The following is a 20,957-nucleotide window of genomic DNA, read 5'->3' on the forward strand; positions in this document are numbered from 1 at the left end:
TTAGGTCAATCTGGCACCCACTTAGTTTTTGGTTTTGATGTTGCTATTACATGTAAGTAGAACTTGACAGGTTGTCTATACATTTTCATACTGGAGACATCGATGACTAACCCCAGATAACCTTTAATTCAAACCACTTCAATTATACTATGGCCAAACAACCTATGTGGAAATCATGACCATACGGCCAATAATAGTGGATGCTTCTACTTGGTCTCTGTTTCTCAGCAGTCTTATAGATGCAGTCTAAAGTCAAACAGATTTATTCTCAAGCAAGAGACTTGGAAGGAGGTGGTATTGCAAAAGGAATTAAGTTTCATTTTTTTCAGGTAGAATGTATTACCCCTTATGCTATTTAAAAATTTAGTAAATAAACTTGGTACGGGTTCTAGGTTTTACATGTGAGACTGAAGAGTTGACAAACATATAGGCCATATTTGCAGAGTCTTCATTATAATCATTATTTAGTACAGGTAAATTATTTTGTATTTATGAATGTGTGATGTGGTGGTAACTTCTAGAGCCCAGTGTCTGGTTCCTCTCTCCTTTCAGGCACTTGAGAGTACAATGTCTAGCCCCTTTGAGTTAAGCAGGGCTTTGGAGTCCAGTTCTAGCCTTTGGGCTTTGAGTGACACATAACGTTTCCTGAAGTACTTCATTGTAGGAGAATTCTTGCCCCACTGGGACAACCCCTGAAGCCTTCTGTTGAAATGGTGCCATTTTAAGAAGGTAGAGTCTGCATTAGCTTATTATCTTCTGTCATGAGCAGAAGCCCTGCTCTGCCTTGAAAACATAATGAGCCAGACAAAAAAGTTGTTGAAATTTTGTACTAAATTTTATGACAGCATAGCCTGACCACCCTAGTTAATTGAGAATTGTGGTTAATTGGTAGCCATCTGCAGAAAATCATGCTAGATCAATAAGGTAAAATTGAATTTTAAATGAATTAATGGGAGGCCAGGTAACAGGATCGAGAAAGGGTATGAATTGTGGAAATTCCAGAGGGCTTTGCACATAGAAGCAAAAACCCTTTATAACACTAATAGTCTGAATGTACACTATATTAAAAGCAATAAAGTACTGTTTCTTTACTTCTTGAAATATTCTTTCACAATGCTTTTCATGGAGTTTGGAATAAAATATCAGACTATTTTGTCTTTCTTGGCTTCTTGAAGGTGGCAGGACTTACTTTCCCAACAAGACAAAAATTGGAATGAGGTGGAAGATTATTTAAAAGAAAATAGCAAGTTATTAGAAAGAAAGAACTGACAGATGCTTGGGGGCTGGGGGTGGGTGAAATTCAACAGAAGTCCACAGTATACAGTCTGTATTTGGAAATTGGGAATAGATGACTTCAATGTCATCAGCACAGAATGGTGCACATATGGCATTAGGCATGAACTTGCTAAATTCAATGTAAAGAGACTTTTCTAATACACCCAAAAATTTTTTCTTCAGTAGAGAATGTTGTTAAAATTTTTATGACATTTTTAAAATGGCATAAATTAGATGAGCAGAACAATAAACTACTTCCAAGACAATTTCTTTTAAAGATGACTCTAATTTTATAGGTTTATTTTCTCTTCAAGATTTCTTATTATTGCAAGCATTTGTATTTTTCATTGGTAAATTGAATAAAGTTAAAATATCCATTTTAGAATTCATGGGTGCAATAATATCAAAGTACACAGTGGTGTACTTTGATAAGGCCCAAATATTGAATGCCATCATTATTAAAATATTTTCTTGCTTGTTTTCTCCATGTTATATTTCAAGAGGGCTAGTGTTCTTGCTAATCATTATATATTGAGGTTGTTTGCCATTGTCTTATGCGTTTCTCACTATTTTTATATCCCTCGCTTTATTAAAGGTTTACAGCAGGAAAAACTGAAACACTGAAAGTAGATGGAATAAATTTTTTAAAAATATTCCCTAAGTTTCTGTTTTCAATACTTAATACTCAAAATATAATGCAAACTACCTCATAAAACTTTGAGCATACTACATCACAAATAAAGTAACTTAACTGAGTGGATTCACAGTGCTTTACAAGGTATCTAAATAGACAAGTCACTCTTTTTCACAATGAGTGTGGAGTTTTATTTTGTTCCATGGACGAGGGGACTCATATTCTAGTGTAACTTCTAAAATCATTTGGACCTTACCAAAATGTTACCTAAATTTAAAAATCTGTAAGATGAGCCCCAATTTTTCTAAATTTCCATTTATGGTTTAGAGTTATAGGTGTTATTTATTTATACTGAATTTGATTAATTATTACCCATTATGCAAACAAGATGGCAAATAATTAGAAAATTTGCACGATAGTTCTGATTCCTGAAGAAGCTGATAAATAACAAGTAAAAAGATTGTATTAGTCATAATTGGACTAATGGATGAAAATGTATTGAATATGTCTTTAAAATTACACTACTTCATTTTGTTCTGGCCTCTAGAACACTACACGAAGTTTACACTACTAATGAAAATCTACTGCCAAAAAGTGACAGCTATAGGAAAATTATATTGCAGGTTCCTTTGAAGTCTATGAAGTTTCTGAGAAATGGATCTTGTCTTACACTTACAGGTTACTTACTTAGACTTAACACCTTAGAGACATTGTTTACATTAATCTAGTATGGCTAGGCCTGTTATAAAATAGGTGCCACCTCTCTATGGTAGCTAAATGTACAATGTGCTGATTTCTATAATAATACACTTATTTTTAAAACTAGTACTTAGCTTTAATTTACATTCTATTAAATTATATTTCTTGAGAAGACAGAATATTGCACAGTTGTTATTTTTTAGCTGTCATTTTGTTCCCTACAGTCTTGGTCTTACCCATAATAATGCATTAGTTTTACAATTAATTATTACAAATAAACTCATACTTTATTGTCCATATACTGTTGCCAACAACAATAAAAGTGTTGTTTTCAGGTCTGAATTACTAGAAATCTCCTGAAATATATATTTTTAAAGTATATAGCATGTTGTTTTTCTACCAATTATGTCGTTTTTTGTTTTGTTTTGTTGTGTTTTTTTGAGACAGAGTCTTGCTCTGTCACCCAGGCCGGAGTGCAGTGGTGTGATTTCGGCTCACTGCAAGCTCTGCCTCCTGGGTTCGCATCATTCTCCTGCCTCAGCCTCCCAAGTAGCTGGGACTACAGGCACCAGCCACCACGCCCAGCTAATTTTTTGTATTTTTTGTAGAGATGGGGTTTCACCGTGTTAGCCAGGATGGTCTCGAACTCCTGACCTCCTGACCTTGTGATCCACCCACCTTGGCCTCCCAAAGTGCTGGGATTACAGGTGTGAGCCACCGCGCCCAGCCTTATCTAGTTTTAACATCTCTTACTCCCTTCAAATTTCACTTTTATCTGTCTGTGATCAGGTCAAAATTATATCTTTAGTATATGCTTGGATATTTCATATAAATGGAATCATGATACTTTCTCATTCTATTTTTTACACATCTGTTATTTGGCATTATTTATGTAGCCCTTCTGTGTAGTTATGCAGCATGCATGCACACAGGCAAACACACATTCAGACATACTCACATAGATACACATACACACAAACATAATCTAAGCCTTCATATTTCCTGAGTAAATATTTATTCCCTAAAGTTGCATATTTGGTTAACTCCTTTTTTTTTTTTAGTTTGAGACAGGGTCTCACTCTGTTGCCCAGGATGGAGTACAGTGGCACAATCATAGCTTTCTTTAACCTCTAACTTTTTTGGGCTCAAGTGATCCTCCCACCTCAACCTTCAGAGTAGCTATGACTACAAGCGCAGGCCACCAAGCCTGGATAATTTAACAGAAAATTTATTTTTTGTTGATACAGGATCTCTCCCTGTGGTGCCTAGGTTGGTTTAAAACTCTTGGCCTCAAGCGATCCTCCCACCTTGAATTCCCAAAGCAAGGTAAGACTTTTTTCTTATATAATAGGCAAAGTTGGGCAATATAGCCAGTGATTTGGCTGAAATAGACTTTCCAACCGTGTCCTAGTAAGTTTTCAAAAAATATATAACAACTTCCAACCAAACATGCTCAAATTGTATTGCATTTTATACTCTGTGAAAGCTTGTCACTATCACCTTAATGTGATTTTTTTCTGTATATAGTGAAAGAGTAATCAGATGTTTTAAAAGTTCAGTTATGTGTTTACTATTTCCCCATTGAACAAAGTGTTCCTTATTCCTTAGATTAATTTATATTTAGTCTCACCACTATGACTACTTAGCGTCTCATCCTCTCTGTTGAAATACTTCAATTCAACAAATATTGAATGAGTAGGCTTACTATGAAAAACAATTACTATTCTAGGTGTTAGTATGCTGGACAATAAATATACATATAAATGTATGCAGAGAGGGTATATATGCTGTGTAAATAAATAGAGCAAATTAAGGGGTATTTGAAAGGCAGATATCTTGTTGGGTAAAATTTCAATTGAAGTGGTCAGAGTTGGACTTAGTGAAAAGGTAGAACCTGAATAAGAACTTGATGTGAGAGCCACTAGTAAAGCAGTATTTTTCTATAGCAAATTTGATAAAATTTGATAATGTTATTTACCTTAATATCCCAAGACTTTTATGATACATTTCAAATTATTTTGACTAGTGCAAAAACATTATTTATGACCAGGTTCATGGTAGCACATCTTTTGCCATTTCTGTGCAATGCCTCTATTGACTGCTACTTGGATGTCAAATGTTATTGTAAACCTCTGTCCCTGGCTAGAAGTTTTCTCATTTGTTCAGGAGTATGCTCCACTCTCACCAAGTCTTCATTGGGAGAACTCCTATACATCTATGAATGCGCTCAGGTCTTTGGAAAGACATCCTACATCTGACAATCTAAATTTTCCTCTGAACTATCATATGATTCAATCCAAGTCTCCATCTTGGAGCTTATTATATGGCGTAGTAATTACAAATAATTTAATCGCTTATCTTCCTCACTGAACCGTGAGTTCTTTTTGTTTGTTTGTTTGTTTTTTGACGCGGAGTCTTGCTCTGTCGCCCAGGCTGGAGTGCAGTGGCGCAATCTCGGCTCACTGCAAGCTCTACCTCCCAGGTTCACGCCGTTCTCCTGTCTCAGCCTACTGAGTAGCTGGGACTACAGGCGCCCGCCACCACGCCCGCCCGGCTAAATTTTGTATTTTTAGTAGAGACGGGGTTTCCCTGTGTTAACCAGGATGGTCTTGATCTTCTGACCTCGTGATCCACCCGCCTCGGCCTCCCAAAGTGTTGGGATTACAGGCGTGAGCCACTGGCCAAACTGAGTACTTTTAAGGCAAAGAGTAGGTTTTCATTTTCATACTTCCAGTATTTTTTCATACCTTTCTCAATAAAGCCCAATTACATTCTTTGGTATGTCTTTCACATCCAAAAACTATTTAATGTTTCCATCATATTTTATTTCCTTTACATGGTTTGACAATCATCTCGGGTATGGTACACAATACAACATTGCTGGTAGTCCCATTAACTCCCTGCATTTTACCTTATTTTTACTCACTCAAATTATTTTTCAATCAAATTTTTTTTGTAATCTGTTGACTATTAACTAGTCAATTGACTTCCAAAAAATGTCCCTTTTTATTCCAGTATTTAAAATCACACCCTCGAACTGGTCTATGTTGTCAAAATTCTATTTTTTTTCTTATCCCTACATAAGAAAACACTTACCTCAAACCCCATTAACTTGATGCATAAGTCAATTAATAAATCGATACTACTCATTCAGATGATCATCCTAATTGGGTGTCCTATGTTCTACATTTCTCTATCTACCTTTATTCCCACTATATGACAAAATATCATTACATTCTTTCCTGAACTCTTCTTTAGTCTTGTAGTATGGAGGATTATATTATCCATACAAAAGCTAAAGGAGGAAAAAATGTCTGGGTATCATATGGGTACATGTGTGTGCATGTTGTAGAGATTTTAAATTGAGTTTGAAGGACACACAAAATCAATCAACTCACATATGTCATTGAACAGGTCATTTATTGTACAAAATCCAAAGTCACTTGAACTGAAATCGTGTGTAGTTCTCTTTGTAATTCCAGTTATAAGCTGAGATTAATGTCTTTGTTTCCAATTAAAATCATATGTAGTTCTCTCTGTAATTCCAGTTATAAGTTCAGTTTCATGTCTTTGTTTGCAATGCCCATGGATGTTATTACTTGAATAAATATTTAGGTTTGAGTTCAACTATTATGTTACCTTGTCATCCTGCTTGAAGTATTTAATACACACACACACACACAAACACAATATTTAGAAGTATCATTATTTATCATTGCTATTTAAATTATGTCCTAAAACCAATACTTTGATTACCTTTCTGCTCTCCTCCGTCTTTCCTGTCAGGATATCAGTTTCTAGTTTGGTTATATAAGTGGTTAAAATTTATATGGACTGCTCCAAGGTGTTACATTACCATGTGGAGTTGGACCAATTGCTACTACTTCCATAATTAATATAGCAATGTGATGCAGAGTTCCTTTTTTATTCTTTTTGTAAAAGCCTATTTTGAAGAGATTTATAGTTTCATACTGGAAGTGAATTTATTTCCATAGATGCAAGAGTTCTGCTGCTGCTTTTGACAGTAAATATAGATGACTCTCATCCAACTTACTAACCAAATGCAAGCTTGCTTATATGTCATAGAGGACATTACTGTTCAAAGATGAAAGTAAAATTGATGGTTGGGTACTAAGTGATGAGGTACATAATCCACTTACCAAGAAAGATATTTAAATTTGAAACACATTAAATGGATTTTACTTCAAAGCCATCAATTGGGTATATATTAATTCAATTTTGGAGCATCACTTCTGAAACTAACAGTTTTTTTTTCAAAACAATAAGCTTTAACACTATGTTATTATATAAACAGCCAAAAGTGGGTTATTGAAGTTCTCTAAAGAGCTCTCAAAACTTGAAAAAAAAATAGCTAAACTAATTACATTCCACACCAAGTTTTATAAATAACTTTAGTTTAAAAATATCTAAAATAAATATTTATTTTCAGTTCCAAGGTTAGATACAAGGTATGAATAGAGAATTAAGATGTTCTTATCACTACAATTACTTCTACAGTCTACAGTTCTATGAAAGGAGGACTGTCTTGTAGAAAGAATTTCATAATTAATGTATTTTATTTATTTTGAAAAACAAATAGTACACTATTTATTGTATGGTTTGAGGCTGATGGATTTTATTTATGATAGAAAATACCTTGAAGTTCATACATGGCAGTGTTCTAATAAAGGTGAGAGTCTTAATAGATCAAAAACCATGAAGAAATCTTTGCCAGTCTAAAACAAGATGGCATCAGATCAAAAAAGAAAAACAAAGTTCAGGACAAAGCAGGGAATTGTCATCAAAGGTGGGAGGAATGTAAAGAAGACATCAATCCGAAGGGAGGTGAAAGTCAGGGACAAATGAATGGAAAAAGATTTGAAGTGGTATGTTAAAATAAAAATAATGTATATTTGCAGAAAGTTAGGTGAAATACACCTATAAAACAAAAAGTAAGTTGGTATAACAGGTAGATTTAAAAATGGAAATTTTATTGTAAAATAATCAATCTTTTGAATAGCAAAATGGAGAGTTTATAGGAAAAATCAGTGAACTAGTGAATGGAGGTTCAAGAATATCTCCCAAAATATAACAAAAATATAGTATAAAAATAAGTAAGCATAGGGAATAAAGGGAGAAATCTTCAAATTGTATAAAATAATTTCCAGAATAAAGTGAAGAGAGATTGTGTGGGATGTAAAATTTGGAAAATTTAGAACTGTTAAATTGTGGTTTTTCAATATTAGAGTACACTGATTTCTGAATCAGAAACTTTGTTTAACAGCAAGATCTATTTATACACATGGCATTGGGATTTCTGAACATTAGGGAAAAAGTACAAAATTCCAAAAGGTAGTAGAGAAAGAAGGAAAAAAAAGAGAAAATGGACTGAGAGAAATAAATAAAAATAGAATAGTAATATTGTCACAATATTTTCTATAAGCAACATTAGATGAAAGAGAATTTCAGAGCAATAACTACAGAATACTAAGAAAAACTCTGGTGCTGAGAATATAAAATAATATATTTAGCTCAACTCTAATTTTGTTATGAAAGTGATGAAGATATTTTCAGTCATATAATATTTAAATATTTTAGGCATTAGGCTTATAACATAAGAGCTATAAATATTTACTTCTACAAAAATTATGGATTTTTAGGCAGTGGGATACAGAAAGCAGTGGAAAACAGACATCAGTGTATCTTTATGTTTGATCAATAAAAAAGTAAAGTTTATTATAACTGTATAGTTAAAAGTGCAGGTGTTAGAACGATGATAGTTGTTGAGTATAGTCTTAGTAAAACAGATTAAGAAGCTTAATAGGGATGTATAGTTGACACTATACTTTTTTAAAAAAAAAAAGCTAAACACAAAATTATAATGTTAAAGGGAACCACTAAAGAAATATGAATAGAAGATATTATTCTCCAACTAATAGAGCTAAAAAGTAACAAACAAATGACTAAATAAAACAATCAAACAAACAAACAAAAAAAGCAGTGTATGAGACAAATAAATGCAAGGGAAATTGAAGAAGTAGAAAAATATTATAAATAAAAATCAGATAATTACAATAGTAATGATAACCATAATAATTCAAAGTATAAGAAATAACATGTATTCTATACAAAAGAGAAAAATTTAAAATGGTATAGGAATGTGAGAATAAAAATCACAGAATAAATAAATAAAGATAAAGGAGAGAACTGACAAATAAACAATCATGTAACAGGCAACATCCTATCTTGTGAAAGAAATGGAAAAGATGCAAGAATGTTGATAAAAAGAATAATTCACCAAGATGACATAGCAGTCACAAGTTTGTATTTACCCAATATAATAGCTTTACATATGTAATAGAAAGGGCCAAAAAATTAAAATATTTGTTGAAGACTGATATTATACCCCCAGAAATCAAGATATAAGGTGGAAAAAAAGAGTATGCAAGGATTTAAATACTGCAATTATGAAAATAAGCCAAAGAGCTGTAATAAAGAGCTGTAATACTGTATATCCAGTAAAAAGAGATTTAATATTTTTTCAAGCAAAAATCATGATTTACCATATAATTATTTATATTTTCATAAATAAATCACTATAAACTTTCAAAAAAATCTATAATGAAAACCATGTTTATTCTAGAAAATAATCATTTTTTAACTTCTATGATAAAATTAATTGAGGAAATAATAAAACACTTTCCCTAAGCCCATATAAAACTATTTCTGAATAATTCTTTATTAGATGAAACATTAAAACTAAATGAACATAGCTTTTCACTGAAATGATCACAAATGATAATTACATTAACATAAATAAAATATAAAGTATAAAATGTTACAGAATAAACAGAAATTTAATAACAGAAATAGTTCATCAAATAAACAAATCTAAAAGAGAGGGACCATAATTAGAGTAAATTAAATTAAAAATAAGACAGTAATATGAAAATATAGATTCAAATATGCATATTTATGTGACTAAAATGGAAAAATTTTCTAAAGCTTATCAAAAACCAAAATTGGCTCCAGGAATTATACAAAAATCTTAATAAACCAAAAATAAATGGAAATACTTAAGAATGAGGAATGTGGCTGTTGTAAAAATTATTCAAAGCATAGAAAACATGACAAGCTACCTAATCTAATGCATTTGAACATGCTTATATAACTCAATTACCAAAATGAGACAAGGTCAAACCAAGAAAATTTATACACAGATACACACACACACCCACTCATACACTTTCACTAATTTAATATCACATAGTATTTCCTAACAAGCAATCACAATACGTCAATGACAAAAAGCAATAAACCTTTATTTCCAATAAATCTGTGAGTTGGCTGGTCAATTCTTCTGAACTGGCACAGGTTTGCTAAGCTCAGCTGGGCTTGTTCAATTAGTTGATGGGGCTGGCTTGTCAAGATAGCCTTACCTAAAGGGGCTTGGACACTACAGGTGGACTCAAATTCCAGCAGACTAGTTCAGGCATGTCCCTGTATTAATCTGCTTTTATGCTGCTGATAAAGACATACCCAAGACTGGGCAATTTACAAAAGAAAGAGGTTTAATGGACTCACAGTTCCACATGCCTGAGGAAGCCTCACAGTCATGGTGGAAGGGGAAAGGCACATCTCACATGGTGGCAGACAACAGAAGAGAGCTTGTGAAAGGAAACTCCCCTTTTTAAAACCATCAGATCTTGTAATATTTATTCACTATCACAAGAACAGCACAGGGAAGACCTGCCCCCATGATTCAATTACCTCTCACCAGGTCCCTCCTACAACATGTGGGAATTGTGGGAGCTAAAATTCAAGATGAGATTTGGGTGGGGACACAGCCAAACCATATCAGTCTCCATGGTGAAAATCATAATGGGAAGGAAAAAAAAAGATAGCATTACCATAGCACTAAAAGTGTTATTTCTAGGACAAAACTTAATTGGTAAATTTTTTGATGTATTTTAATAAGAAGCAGATAGGATTTCTTTATGATGTTAATGCAAGTTGTCAGGAAAAAAATGAATCGAAGTTGAATCTCAAGTTTTGGCTTCAGAAAACAGATATTGACAAAATTTGTAGAAGAGTAGGAGAAAAACAGCTTTGGTGATTTGGTGGTGATGGCAAAAATAAGATTTCTTTTTCACATATGTTAAGTGAATATATCAATAAGCCAGTTCATTAAATGAGTCTAGAAATCAAAGTTAATCCTGAATGAATTTATGTGAGAATCACTGTATTTCCATATTAACTACAAACTAAAAATTAAATAAAAGGTCAATGTTTTGGTCAGTTTCTTTAGATTTGTAAAATAAGAAATTTGTAAAAATTTAACGGGTAAAAGGAAGTGTCACTACATCCTTATTATCATATTTTTGGAGATAAAAATAATAACTGTACACTGCAGATAAGAATATGGGTGGAAAATAACTACAAAATTATATTAACACAAAAATTATTATTCCAACTGAGTTCAATTGAATTGGATCTCTATAATATTGATATAAGAATTCATATTTATTGAAACCTTGAAACATAAAGAATCTTAGCAAAAAGCAAGGGTTTTATTTTATTTTATTTTATTTTATTTTATTTTATTTTATTTTATTTTATTTTTTGAGACACAGTCTTGCTCTGTTGTCCAGGCTGGAGTACTGTGGTGTGATCTCGGCTCACTGCAACCTCCACCTCCCAGGTTCAAGTGATTCTCCTACCTGAGTTTCTCGAGTACCTGGGACTACAGGCGTGCACCACCATGCCCAGTTAAGTTATGTATTTTTTAGTAGAGGCGGGGTTTCACTATATGTTACCCAGGCTGGTCTCAAAACTCCTGACCTCAGGTGATCTGCCCACCTCAGCATCCCAAAGTGCTGGGATTACAGGCATGAGCCATCATACGTAGCCAAGTGTTGGTTTTTATAGAAAGCTTAAGTGCTGGTATAGCCTAGAATTAATACGGTAAACACAAATAATACTATACCTGAAACAATCAATGCATAAACAGCATTAAGTGGCATCCTTAGACAACTAAAAATAAGATTCTGGATCATATCAACCTATGCCAGCAAAGAAGCTTAATCTTTCTTAGAGGCAGTATGGTATACCAGGAAAAATAACTACTGTGTAGAGATATAAAACAGTGACATTTTCAAACTTGGGCTCCACAACTTTGAGCATGTTACTGAATTTTTCTGAACATCAATTAATGCATGCACACGTCTAACAGTGGGAAAAACAATAGCTGTTTAACCTGCTAATGTTGGATTTTTTCAGTCGCTTATGTTTTAATCTTCTACATGTTAATGTAAAAGCTGCTAGAAAAAGTTAATACACAAGAATATCTAAAAAAAGCATAAGATTCTTTCCAGTTAGAATTAGAAGGCTGAAACATCTTGGAGACACCTAGCTAGACAAGAAGTTATCCAGTTATTGGGGCAACTCAATAGCAAAAGAATGTGCTTTATTTGGTCTCCTTCTGGAAACTAGACTCTGTGGGTTTGTTCTCCTGTTTTGCAAGAATGAAGTAGAATACTGAATACAGAAAATACTAAGGAAAAAAATTTAAAACTATTCTGTAACTTTATCCATAAGGGATATAGACGTAACTGATTCACAAAATGTACGAAGGTTACTCTAAACCAATGAGAGCTGTAATCAAGAAACCATTTCCAGGTATCTGCAGCTGGGAAGACACAATAATCTTTCCACCATGTTTATGTAAATAAAATATAATCACTATCCGTGGGAAGTGAAAAACTGTTTGGGGGAGGAAGTAGACTAAATTATATTTTGAAGAAACACATGGGCATATTTTTTTACTGATTTATTGCCACTATACAGATGGTCTGAGATGAATCATGGCAAAAAAAAAATTATAGAATATCCTTGAAGTTTCAGCTATTTTTTTTCCATTTTGATAATTAATTGTTCATGTCCTTCATGAAAAATAAATACAAAAATTCAAAAAAATTTCCATCAATAGCATTAAAATCTTTATAATATTGTTATATTTGTTTCAATTGCCCTTGTCTGAAAGTCAAGGTGAATAAAAATAAAACATACTTAATAAACAAAATTCAAAATTGGCATTTTTAACTATTGTAGAAAGAATATTTCAAAGGAAATAATAATAAATAACTATATTCACAATATTAAATAAATGATAACTATATATGAACACATAGGTGTATATACATATATAAGCATTTATATTTGGTGTATATGTACACAGGTACAGTATATACAGTATGTACATATATAAAATTTCCAACTATATATAAAGTGAGAGCAATGTATTAGCTTTTTTTTTTTGGTTGAGGGAGGGGGTGTAATAATGTTGGTACTATTATTAGGGTTTTCTTTTCAAGAAAATAAAATCTAAGAATAATGTAAATTACTAAGATAACAGAAATATTTAACTGTATAGGTTATTCTAAACATTTTTTTCTGAAACTGAGGCAGAAGAATAGGGCCTGGAGGTGGGGAACATAAGGCTGATCCATGCTGACTTTCTAGAACTAAATCAAATGAAAGCACTTCAGCAATGACAAGAATGTGAATGGCTTTGTAACTTCACATTCATCCTCTCTATTTACGTAGACCACACACACCAAGTAACATCTTCTTTATTTACACTTTGTAACTTCACATTCATCCTCTCCATTTACCTAGATCACACACACCAAGTAATATCCTCTCCATTTACAATAGGGCACATTCTGAGTAAATGACCCTGTGACTTCACTTCATTCTCTTCATTTACATAGAATATATGCCAAGTAACCAATAGGAAATCTCTTGAGTATTGAAACCCCAGAATATTCTATAAGCAGGGCTCTTAAGACCTTATGCTCGGGACTGCTCCCACACTGTGGAGTGTACTTTCATTCTCAATAAATCCTTGCTTTTGCTTTCCTTGCTTTGTGCATTTTGTCCAATTTTTTGTTCAAGATGCCAAGAACCTGGACAACTTTTACAGGTAACAAAACTACTTATGAGAACAGAGAAATATTATATTGGTTTTTAACTATAAATATAGAATATATTAAATTCAAGTTAATAAACTCTCATATAAATAAACCAGTATGCATGTGTAAAGATGTAGTTTCTTAGATAATATTGTTTTAATATATAGAGCTGTATTGCTGAGATTCCTTTGCAAACTAGTGACTTAAAATTGATATGACTTTCATATTTTTAGAGAAAATAATTAATGGACACTATTTATCTTACTTTTTTTCTGGATACTTTCAGCTTAATAGTTTTTACATATGATCTCTTGAACTTGTCACAAAGTGATGTGTAAAATATTTTCTAATTTCTTTCTTTAATGGAATTTTATTGTCTCATGTAAGCATGCAACTTGCTTACATGAGACATGTAACACAAAATCATATAGAAAAGATGTTGTGTCATATGGTCTTGAGTGTTCTAGTCCAGGGGTTCCCAAACCCCAGGCCACAGACTGGACTCGTGTGGGTCCGTGGCCTGTTAGGAACTGGGCTGCATGGCAGGATGTAAGCAGGGGGCCAGTGAGCAAAACTTGGTCTGTATTATAGCCACTCCCCATCCCTCACCTGACTTGCCTGAGCTCCTCTGCCGTCAGATCAGCGGTGGCATTAGATAATCAGCTGCATGAACCCTATTGTGAAATGCACATGTGAAGGCACAGTTGCATGCTTCTTATGAGAATCTAATGCCTGATGATCTGCCACTGTCTCTCATCACCCCAGATGGAATAGTCTAGTTGCAGGTGTAAACCCCAAAAATCTGAGACAGGTTCCATTTAATTTAGAAAGTTTATTTTGCCGAGGTTTAGGACACGTGTCTGTGACACAGCCTCAGGAGGTCCTGACTGTAAGGTTAGCCGAGAAAGGGCAAGAGAGAGAGAGAGACCCAAGGTCAGGTGAGTAAGTTCATTAAGCTGCAGGGCTGCTCCACCACAGTCAGAGGAGGAAGCCCTGAGCTTACAAAATGAGGGGTTTATACGGGGGAAAGAGACGCTGGGGTTGTTCATGGATTAACTTTACCACATATCGTCTCGTGACTGGCTTACGATATAGGAATTTACAAGAGGGTGTAACTTAGGTTTATCCACGTTTCTCATGACCTCCCCCATGCCACTGGAGGGCTGTAAGCAAGTCTGGTGACCTTGCTGTAGCGCCTAGATAAGGGTCCAAGAATGCAGCTGCAGAGTATTCAGGGTAAGGGTCAGTGGCATTGAGTTGGCAGAGGGTGGGGGGAGTGGGGGAGTGGGGATGTCCTGGGGCAGCTTGTCCCTAAAACTGACGACCTGTGCCCAAGATGGTCAGAGCACAGTTTGGTTTTATGCATTCCAGGGAGACAGGAAACATTAAACAACATAAGCAAGATAAACATTGGTTCATGCGGTCGCAGTGGCTCAGGCCTGTAATCCCAACACTTTGGGAGGCTGAGGTGGGCGGATCACGAGGTCAGGGGATCAAGACCATCCTGGCTAACACGGTGAAACCCCGTCTCTACTAAAAATACAAAAAAATTAGCCCGGCGTGGTGGCCGGCGCCTGTAGTCTCAGCTACTTGGGAGGCTGAGGCAGGAGAATGGAGTGAACCCGGGAGGCGGAGCTTGCAGTGAGCCGAGATCCCGCCACTGCACTCCAGCCTGGGTGACAGAGGGAGACGCCGTCTCAAAAAAAAAAAAGAATCATGATAGCTATTAAATGCAAAAGCTAGTGTCAGATCAGTTTTTTAAAACGGTTTCGCTGCGTTGTATTATGCAACTGAAACATTCACACATTGTTGATGGGAGAGGATGTTTATTTAACCATTTTTGACGACTTATCATGTGTAATAAATCCAAGCATATACCTACCCTATGCTCCAACAATTCCACTTTTACATCTTCTCACAGGAGAAATAAATGTATGCGGTGACAAAATGATATGTAGAATGATTTCCTAGCATTTACACATGATAATCTCGCCACTGCACTCCAGCCTGGGAGACGGAGCGAGACTCGGTCTCGAAACAAACAAACAAACAAAAAAACATTGGTTCAGTCTGGAAAGGCGGGACAACTGGAAGCAAAGGTGGAACAACTGGAAGCAAAGGTGGGAAGACTTGAAGCAGGGAGTGGACATCCAGGTCATAGGTCGATAAGAGAAAAACGGTTGCATTCTTTTGAGTTTCTGATTAGCCTCTCCAAAGGAGGCAATCAGATATGCATTGATCTCAGTGAGCAGAGGGGTGACTTCGAATACAATGAGAGGCAGTTTGGCCCTCAGCAGTTCCCAGCTTGACTTTTTCCTTTAGCTGAGTGATTGGGGCATCGAGATTTATTTTCCTTTCACACAGGAAAACAAGCTCAGAACTCTCATTGATTCTCAATTATGGTGAGTTGTATAATTATTTGATTATTTATTACACTGTAATAACAATAGAAATAGAGCACAATAAACCTGATGCACTTAAATCATCCTGAAATCTTCCCCCACCCAGGTCTATGGACAAATTGTCTTCCATGAAACCGGTCCCTGGTGCCAAAAAGTTTAGAGGCTGCTGTTTTCGTTGAATAAAATGACTTACTCTAACTAAATCATTTAAGGAATAATTAATTACATAAAAAGATAAAAACCTTGAAACACGTTAATTCGTTGAGAAGCCAATTTCTTGAGGAAAAATGAAGGTAATCTCAGGCCTGTAATCCCAGCACTTTGGGAGGCCGAGGTGGAAGGATCACGAGGTCAGGTGATGGAGACCATCCTGGCCAACACAGTGAAACCCCGTCTCTGCTAAAAAATACAGAAAATTAGCAGGGCATGGTGGCGGGCACCTGTAGTCCTAGCTACTCGGGAGGCTGAGGCAGGAGAATGGTGTGAACCCGGGAGGCGGAGCTTGCAGTGAGCCGAGATTGCACCACGGCACTCCAGCCTGGGTGACAGAGTGAGACTCCGTCTCAAAAAAAAAAAAAAAGAAAGAAAAAAAAAGAGAAGGTAATAGAGGTTGTGCTAGTACAGAAATACACACCTACCCACTCTATATTTTCATCCAGCTACACATAAGGAAAACACAAAGCACTTAACCAGGAAGGCTAAGTAACGTCTAAGCTTCATTTAATGAAATATACAGTTAAGCCTCTTTCACAAGAGAGAATTAAAGTTGTTTGTTGCACAGCTAATAATGACTCATGAGGGAAAAAAATAAATTTAATTAAATCAGCGATAACACTTTTGGATATTTTGAAGAGTAAACATAAGAACTATTCTTTGTCTAATTTTTCCCTCATTTTATATTATATTTTCTTTTTTGGAGTGGTAGAAACTGTGTTTTTATTGTGATATAAATAACATACAACTGACCATTTAAATCATTTTTAAGTATACAGTTCTGTGGCAATAAGTACAATCATATTGTTATGTAACCATCACGACGATCCATCTCCAGAGCTTGTTTCATCATCCCAAACTAAAATTTGCACACATTAAACATCAACTGGCCATTTGCCTCTCTCCATCCCCTGGAAACTACTGTTTTACTTCCTTCTAATGCAGCAATCTTATTTTGTATACCCAGCTTACATACATGAACACACACACAGAGGCACACACATTCCTACATAGATGGATAAATCTATTGTCTACTTGCGTCTCTGCTTTAATTTTCTATAAGCAATTCAAACACAACATATTCTAATGAACCATATTATCCATGTTGTTTACCATTTATATGTATCCCTGTCTAGGAAAAGTGCATTGACACCTAATTAGGTGTCAAACCATTGTTCTTGGTGTCTTCTGAGCTTTACACATATAGGCAGAATCTTTCTCCCTCCCCAATTAATATGTTGAAACTGTAACTTCTAGTATCTCAGAATATGACTGTTTTTGAAGGAAGGACCTTTGAAGTTGTGACTAAGTTAAAACGGACATTTAGGGTGTGGCCAAATCCTATCTGAATGGTGTCCTTATATGAAGAGGAACTTTGTACGCTAAAAGTGATGTTAGGATTGTGCATGTATACAGAGAAAAGGTCACTTGAGCACATAGCATGAATGTGGCTATCTGCAAGCCAAAGAGAGAGGCCTAAGAAGACACCAAACCAGTTGACAGCTTGATCTTGAATTTTCAGCCTCCAGGACTGTGTGAGACAATAAACTTCTGTTATTTAAGCCATATAGTCCATGGTATTTTGTTATGGCAGCCCTAACAATCTAATACAGTAGATTACTTTTATCCCTAATAATCAGCAAGTAAAGCTATTTCCTCATGCCTTTCAAAGTCATATCTTTCTGCGAAGATGCCACAGTAACCACACTATTATAGGATTACCTCACTGGACATCTGAAAAACAGGTGCCATTTATTAGCTTTCTTGCCTCTAGTATCAACCACCATTTGTCACATTGCTCCAAGAGTTATCTTTTGATGGTACATGTTTGCTCATTTTTGTCTAATCAGAATATTTCAAAGATTCTTTGTCTACTGTGAAAACTAAGTAATTTAGCATAACAGGAGAGCCTCTCATAGTTATTATAGTTAGTCAGGAGGCACATCTAACTTTGAACTTGTTTCAAATATAATCATCTGATTACACCAATTATACCAATCATCTGAGACACATATTAAAAACAGAATTCCCATGTCTCATCCCTGGAGATTCAGCTTCATTAAATCTGAGTTGTGTATTGGGAATCTGTATTATTAGCAAACTTCCCAGTTGATTTATATTATCCGTCAACTTTATAAGCCATAAAGTATAATATATTCTTGTAGTACATTTCCAAAATATGTTACTTCGCTGAGAATTATGTAACTTTACATTTCCTAAATCAAATTGGTCCTTATTGAGGAATGAAATATTTTCTTTTTTTTAAAGCAAAGATAACTTAATACACTTACCTAGATATAACATAAATATCATTAATAAGACAAAAGCAAACTACATTAAAGTTGCTAGATGTTAGAGTTGATGTGTAAATGACCCATTAAATTTGATGTGAAGGGCTGTGGTCAGTAAAGATGATCAGTTACCACAGGCACTGCATAGAAGTAAAAGTAAAAAGAGAATGGGGACTGCTCTAGACTCTATTACAATAGCAAAACAGTCTTAAAGATTAAAATATATCAAAAGCTCTTAAATGTAAGTAGTGTTTTCTCCAGTTAAAATTGAAATATGGCTGAAGAAAATGAATGTGTGTGTGCCCGTGTGTGTATGCCTTGCGTTAACATCAAACTTAGATGTTTTTCTAATTCTATAAAATCAAATGACATTCAAAATACAAACTATGTTCTGAGTAGGTATTTTCCAAGATTATAAATTGGTGAAACTAGTTTTAAATCTATTGCTGAATAATAAACTCATATTTATGAGACTGCTTATTTTATCTTATCTTTAAAAATTTAATAAAAAGAGGATAATATAGTGAAAGTTTCTCTACTAAATACTCTTCTTTCAGAAGGGAATAATGGTTGCATTTTATCTCCTTATATGAAACCTTGAAAAGTTATCCTCACACCTTAAATGTTAGAAAAGTATCAGAAAATACAACGATTATATTAATTTCTTAAAAAGTCACAGAAATCCAATTTGTTATTTAAGAAAATTAAACTGGAATGCACATCCTCAAACTACAATAAATAATAAGATACAAAAATTGTGCAAGTACAAATGGGTGTAATAATGAACATAATATTAAAGCACTGGCAGCTCTAAAACATTAAAGGTCATTATGAAAATGTATATAACAGTGAAAAGATAAGTGAATAAAATGTGTTTGTACAATTATTATGTTTTTAATGTTATTTTTAAAAACTGTTGATCAAGTTAATTAAAATTCTAAGTCATTTAGTTTGTCTTTTGCTGTTACAACAGAATGCTAGAGTGTATAGTTTATAATGAACAGAAATGTATTGGCTCACATTTCTGGAGGGTGGGAAGTGCAAGATCAAGGGGCTGGCATCTCATGAGGACAGGTTTGTTCTGTAATGACATGACAGAAGGGAAAATAGAGGGCTAGAGAGAGCAATAGGGAGCTAATCTCACCCTCTTATATTGGCAGCAACCCACCATGAGGATGTATCCCTCAGGGCCTAATCACCTTTTAAAAGTCCCACCTCATAATACTGCTATGATGACAATTAAATTTCAACATGAGTTCTGGAAGAGACAAACATTCAAACAGTTGCAGTTGCGCATATTGAAATGTCTGTACAACTGGAAAACAGGTTGTGAATATGGAATTCAAAGTTCTTGTTTAATATTTCCCTTTATTACATACATCTGGAGGCATATATTCTTAATATTTTAATTCTGGAATTGTTCAAAGTCACTTGAAGGGCTCATAAAAATGTAGATGCTCAAGTTGTATTGTTAGGTAGTGAGAGAGACATTAGCAGCTGGAGGGGCTAGCAGAAGAGAGCAGAAAGGCTGTCACTAAGACAGCCCCTGGCCCATCCAAGTTCAGCCCCAGAACTGCCCTAACTCTGCCCTTACTGATGGAGTTTGTGTTAAGGTCTGTGGCCAGCACATCCTGTAGAAGGAGAAACAAAGGTACAGATGGACATTCCCTAGTTGGCCAGTGCCCATTAACCTGAAACTGAATCTTCAAGTTGACCCTAAGCTCATCATACCCTCATTATAATAAGCTTTACACATAGTTTTGCTCCCTGAGTGGGCTTTTCTTAACGAATTATGTGTAAAAACATGCGCAGTTTAACTTTAGTTATATAACTGCCAATCAAATAACATCAAACTGTCACTCAGACACAGCCCGAATCTTAATTTCTCCCGACAAATCCCATAAAAGCACTTTGAGCTCCGTAAATTGGTGCTGATTTCACTTCGCAGAAATCAACCCGTTCTTCCTCTGAGAGTGTATTACTGTGCTTCAACAAACTTCGCTTTGAACTTACACTTTGGTGTTCATCGGCAGTTCTTTGCTCACTGTCACAAGAACAGAGATTGCTGTTCCAGAGCTCCAGCTCTGTTGATCTCCTTGATTAAAGAATCCATTAAACGCAGAATTCCCGGTAACAGTATGACTACAATTAATTAAATACAAATTTATATCTAAGTTTTCTTTAAAGAGATTCCTCACTAATTGTGAAGAACGATATTTTAAATGTTGCTTTTTTTGTACATATTACCTGCCATTTAGTGTCCATTAACCAATAATATATCTAAATGAATCTGGTATAGCAAAATAAATAACTCTCCTAATAGCAATTGAGTTGAGAGATTTTTACCACCTGCAGTAGCTAAATTTTATAAAATAGGCATTTTAAAAAATCTAGTATATTTAATATTTGTTTATTTTTTTAAAAATAAACTATTACCGTATCCTGGTAAGATGTACGTAAAGTGTCAACA

At 34.6% G+C, this 20,957-nt stretch overlaps 1 annotated feature.

Annotated features, from left to right (window-relative positions):
* Positions 12,919 to 13,478: an enhancer, noted in NCBI's record as "OCT4-NANOG hESC enhancer chr5:27290183-27290742 (GRCh37/hg19 assembly coordinates)". NCBI's record gives its function as "activates a minimal SCP1, AML or CMV promoter by ChIP-STARR-seq in naive H9 embryonic stem cells {active_cell/tissue: H9 hESC(naive)}" and the evidence as "EXISTENCE:reporter gene assay evidence [ECO:0000049][PMID:30033119]".

The sequence above is a fragment of the Homo sapiens genome, chromosome 5 (genome assembly GCF_000001405.40).
Source record: "Homo sapiens chromosome 5, GRCh38.p14 Primary Assembly".
Taxonomy (NCBI): Eukaryota; Metazoa; Chordata; class Mammalia; order Primates; family Hominidae; genus Homo; species Homo sapiens.